This window comes from Homo sapiens, chromosome X, assembly GCF_000001405.40.
Source record: "Homo sapiens chromosome X, GRCh38.p14 Primary Assembly".
Lineage (NCBI taxonomy): Eukaryota > Metazoa > Chordata > Mammalia > Primates > Hominidae > Homo > Homo sapiens.
This window is the reverse complement of record NC_000023.11, coordinates 140,207,864-140,213,863: the sequence shown is the minus strand read 5'-3', so window position 1 is coordinate 140,213,863 and position 6,000 is coordinate 140,207,864.

Here is a 6,000-nt window from a genome sequence, read left to right as displayed (position 1 = left end):
AAAATCTTTCATAATTTGGCCCCAGTCTCTGGTATTTTTGTTTTTCTTTTTTCTTTTTGTTTTAAACAGTCTATTGAGGAATAATTAACCTACAATAAACTGCATGTTTAAAGTATGCAATTTGATAAGTTTCCACACACATACACATCTGGTAAACCAACACCTCAATTAAAATAGTGAACATATTCATTTATAATCTCCTAAAATTTTCACAGGCCTCTTGATAATCTCTCCTTCCCATGTTTCCTGCACCCCACTTCCCAAGCAACTGCTAACCTGCTTTCTGTCACTAAAGGTTAGTTTATATTTTCTAGATTTTTACATAAAGGGAATTAAAGAGTAAGTAGTCTTTTGTGTCTACCTTCTTTCACTGAGCATAATGATACTGAGAATCATCCATGTTGTTGTGTATATCAATAGTTCATTCATTTTTGTTGCTGAGTAGTATTCCACATTTTTATCCATACACCACTATTTTTTATATATTCATCTGTTGATAGACATTGAAGTTGCTTCCAGCTTTTAGCTATTACAAAGAAAGCTATAAACATTATGTACAAGTTTTTATATGAACTTGTGCTTTCTTCTCCTTTGGGTAAATACCTAGAAGTGGAATAACTGGAACACATGTAGGTGTATGTTTAATTCTTTAAGAAACAGCCAAACTGTTTTTCAAAGTGATTATTCCAACAGTGCGTGATACTCCCAGTTTACTCTACATTTTCACTGACACTTTATATTGCCTTTTATTTTTAGCTTTGTATTGTAATGTCTGTGTCACTGTGTCCCACTGTGGTTTTAACTAATATTTCTGTATGATGAGCATCTCTTCGTGTTCCCATACATATATGTATATACATCTATGAGTATATATATATGTGTATATACATATATGTATGGGAACACGAAGAGATGCTCATATATATGAGCATATATATACATATGTGTGTGTATATATATTATATATATACATACATATACACACATACTTTTGTGAAGTTTCTCACCAAATGTTTTGCCCTTTTAATTAAATTGGCTCATTTGTTTTCTTTTTAGTTTCAAGAGTCCCCTATATATTCGGCTGTACATTTTTTATTGAATATGTGACTTGCACATATTTTGTCCTAGGCTGTAGCTTTTCATTCTTCTATCAGTGTCTTTCTCATTTCAAACATTTTTAACTTTGATGAAGTCTAATGTATCATGTTTTCTTTTATGAATACTACTAGAGGTTCTCTGAACTTTTATAATCTTTAAGTGTATATCTTTTGCCAAATTTGGAAAATGTTTAGTCACTATTTCTTCGATATGTTTTCTGCCCTACACTATTTCTCCTCTCCTTCTGGAATTCCTATTATGTATATGTTAAACTTTTAGATATTGTTCCACAGATTCCTGAAGCCCTGTTTTTTTTGTTTTTGTTTTGTTTTGTTTTGTTTTGTTTTTTTGACGGAGTCTCACTCTGTCGCCCAGGCTGGAGTGCAGTGGCGCAATCTTGGCTCACTGCAACCTCCACCTGCTGGGTTCAAGCAATTCTCCAGCCTCAGCCTCCCAAGTAGCTGGGACTGCAGGCATGTGCCACCATGCCCAGCTAATTTTTTGTATTTTTAGTAGAGACGGGGTTTCACCATGCTGGCCAGGCTGGTCTTGAACCCCTGACCTCGTGATCCGCCCGCCTCGGCCTCCTAAAGTGCTGGGATTACAGGCGTGAGCCACCACGCCCGGCCGCCCTGTTCATTTTTTAAAATATTTTTTCTCCCTTTTGTTCAGATTGAATTGTTTCTATTGATTTTTCTTCAAGATCACTGATTCTTGCATTTGTCATCTCCATTCTACTTTTGAGTTCATGCAATGAGTTTTTTTATATTAGTTATTGCAGTTTTAAGATCTAAAGTTTTCATTTATTTTTTCTTTATATCTTTTATTTCTTTGAGGACATTTTTTATATTTCTATTTACTTCAAAAACATTCACCCTTACTTGATAGAGCATTTGATAGCTACGTTAAAGTCTTTGTCATATAATTTCAACAACTGCATCATATTGGCATTTGGCATATGTTTATTTTTTATGGACGTGGACAATTTTTTCTGATTCTTAATATGCTGAGTAATTTTGGATTCTCTACTCGACATTTATCTCAGTTGGTCTTTCTATTTTGAAGAGAGATGTGCTAAGATCTCTTGCTATAATTGTGGATTTGTTTAATTCTCTCTGTGTATCTGTTAGGTTTTGTTTGTATATTTCAAAGTTAGGGGCATACAAGTCCACGGTTATTATACCTAGTTGATGTATTTTTATGCAATGTTTCTCTTTATTAATGATTTTCTCTCAAATTCCACTTTGATATATTATTATCTCACTAATCCTTTTTTGGTTAGAATTCACATAGCATTTATTTGTTCTATTTCATTAACTTCAATGTTCTGTTGGTTTGGTTTTAGGTGTATATCATACAAACAGCATATAATTGGACTTTGTTTCATAATTTGGTAATCTTTCCCTCTATATAGCTGAATTTAATCTATTCACATTTATAATGATTGCTGACATTTTTAGAAATTTTCTCTCATTTTATGTTTTTTGTATAGCATCATTTTCTGTTTCTTTTTTTCTCTTGACTTTCAATTTGATTTATAAAGTTTTCTATATTTTTTCTCTACATATTTTGAAGCTATAGATAATATTTCTAGTTTTTACTGGTTATTTTTAATATTTTAAGGATATATAAAACTGTACTAATTTTTTCTCTGCAATACTCTTCACCACTTCTGTCATAAGGATATATAAATTTTTTCTAACACAACCTAAAATTATTATAATTTTCATTCACCTACTGAATATGATATAGAACTTAGCACATTATAACCTCAAACTAAATACTCTAATATTTTTCATTTTATCTTGAGCATTAATTTTATATTTTCTTAAACATCAAAAAGTAATTCTTACATTCAATTAATTAAATATATAACTATATAATCTATTTTTGGTTTTTTTAACTTTTAGTTTCAGGGGTACATGTGGATGTTTGTTATATGGATAAATTACATGTTGCAGGGGTTTGGTGTACAGATTATTTCATCCCCCAGGTAATAAACACGGTACCTGACAGGTAGTTTTTTTATTCTCACCCTCCTCCTACGCTTCACCCTCAAGTAGGCCCTGGTGTCTATTATTCCCTTCTTTGCACTGATTGATACTCAATACTGATTATTAGGTGTCCATGTTGTATTAGTCCGTTCTTGCACTGCTATAAAGAAATGCCTGAGACTAAGTAATCCATTTAAAAAAAAAAAAAAAAAGGTTTAATTGGCTCATAGTTCCACAGGATGTATAGGCAGTATGGCTGGGGAGGCCTCAGGAAACTTTCAATCATGGTGGAAGGTGAAGGGGAAGCAAGCAGGTCTTACATGGCCAGAGCAGGAGGAAGAGAGCGAAGGGGAAGGTGCTACACACTTTTAAACAATCAGATCTCGTGAGAACTCAGTCACTATCATGAGAACAGCAAAAGAGAAATCTGCCCCCATGATCCAATCACCTCACACCAGGCCCCTCCTCCAACATTCAAATTACAAATCAACATGAGATTTGGGCGGGGACACAGATCTAAACCAGATCACATGTGTACTCAATGTGTAGCTCCCACTTATAAGTGAGAACATGTGGTGTTTGATTTTCTGTTCCTGCATTAGTTCACTTAGGATAATGTCTTCCAAATCCATCTATGTTGCTACAAAGGATATTATCTCATTCTTTTTTATAGCTGCATGGTATTTCATGGTGTATATGTACCACATTTTCTTTATCCAGTCTACCTTTGATGGGCATTTAGGTTGATTCCATGTCTATGCTGTTTTAACCTGTTCTTGTATTCTAAACTTGCCCTTTCTTCTTTTTAAGTATATATTTTAAGAGTTCCTTTAGTGACCCTCTCTGACCTGTAAAATAGCAGGCTGAGCATGTGTAAAAATACTTTGATCTACCCTCACTCTTGAAATTATTTTTATCTAGCACTTTAAGATAACACTATTTTTTACTGATGATAAATATACTGTGAGTCTAATTGATTCTTTCATAGGTAATCAATGTTTTCTGGTAGTTTTAAAGATAGTATCTTAATCCTTAATGTTCTGCAGTTTTATTATGATGTATCTAGCTGTATATTTCCATTTATCCTGCTCAAATCTCATGTATACTACAGAACTGAGAACTCAAGCATTCAATTCTGGATGTTTTTTCAGTTATCATATCAGCAAACATTACTTCTCTGCGATATTCTTCACCACTTCTGTCATTCCTACAGAATATTTGTTGAAGCCTCTCAATCTATAGCTCATATGTCATTATTCTGTTTTTAAAAAATCATTCTCTTTGCTATATTTAGAATTTCTCAGTACTCTGTCTTGCAATTTAATATGTTCTCTCTGACTATATGCAACCCAAAGTTTATGTTCTTTTGAATTTTTTATTTAAATGACTTTTTTTCATGTCCAGGATTTCTGATTGGTTCTTTTATATTCATGTGGTCTCATTTTTCATTTCTTTTTGCTTGTTTATTTCATAATTTTCTATTTTCAATGAAAGTTGTTCATTTACCTCTTTCAGCATCCTAAACATATTTTTTAAATGACAGATCTTTTCATAAAATCATTTCATTCTGAATGAATTCATATTCTGATCGTTTATTTCCTTGGTGACCTCACTTAAGTGTAGATATTTTTCACGCGTTTTGAAATTTTGGTGTAGAAGCTCATTTTGAATAGAATATAATTTTATTTTTCTTCCACATGTTCTATTCTCCATCCTTCCTTTTTATTGTCATTTCATGTTGCTCCTACATAGTTTCTAGGACAGTTGTCCAGAACAGGTCTTATAACAGATTTTCAAAACCCCTGTTACATAGTGATATTGAAGATATAGTAGAGCCAATGGCAGCTTGGGCCAGTTCCTCACAAGAAAAGTCTATCTTTGGTCTTCTATTCCCCCACCTCCCAGGCCAATTGCTTCCTATAATTTTCTAGCCCTATCAATGAGTGGCAATAGCAGTTAAATTCTTCTTATCTCTAGACTCATATATACAACTACCTACCTAACTTCTCCACTTGGGTATCTAATAGGCATCTCAAACTCTATGTGCCTAAAGTTGAACTCTTGGTTTTCAGTCTCGCCCTAAACTCTCCCTCAGTGTTCCTCATCTAAATAAATGGCACCACCATATACCCCGTTGGTCAGGCCAAAAACCTTCAAGTCATCCTTAAATTTCTTTCCGTCACTATCCTATATCCAACCCATCAGCCTGAAGTGTCAGTTCATTCTTCGCAAGATATCTAGAATCCAGCACTTCTTACCATTTCCATCACTACTTCCCTGACCCAAGATACCATTATCTTTTCATTACCATTCCAAAAGCCTCCTTACTGGTCTTCATGCTTCTGCTCTTGGCCCCTTTTAATCAACATTCTACAGGACATCCAGAGAACTCACTTCATGATATAAGTCAGACTGTATCACTCTACTGCTCAAAACCCTCCAATGACATCCATTCACATTCAGAATAATCTAAATTACTGTCATGGCCCACAAGCCCCTACCTGATCTGGTTTCTCCTTATTTCTTCAAATCATCTCCTACCACTTTTTACTAATTCCACAATGTCTGGTGGAGATTAAACATTATCATGTGTGTAGAATGTCTCCCATAGGGTTTCACACATGTACATTGCTCAATATATGTATACTTATTATCATAGTTGTATAATGAAGAAGTTAAGAATGGGGCCTGGCCTAGAATGATGGGATTTAGGCAGAGAACAATATGAGTAATCATGAAAAGGAAAAAAAAATATGGTGATGGAATGCTTAGAAGGGCTAAGAAGAGAAGCTCAAAGTGAAGGAAGTGAGATGCTGTGCCTTGCTGCCATTACTTTTAATTCCCTCCTGCCCACCATACACATATAACACCACAACCACTGCCCACTTTTTATTCAATTCAGTACTCA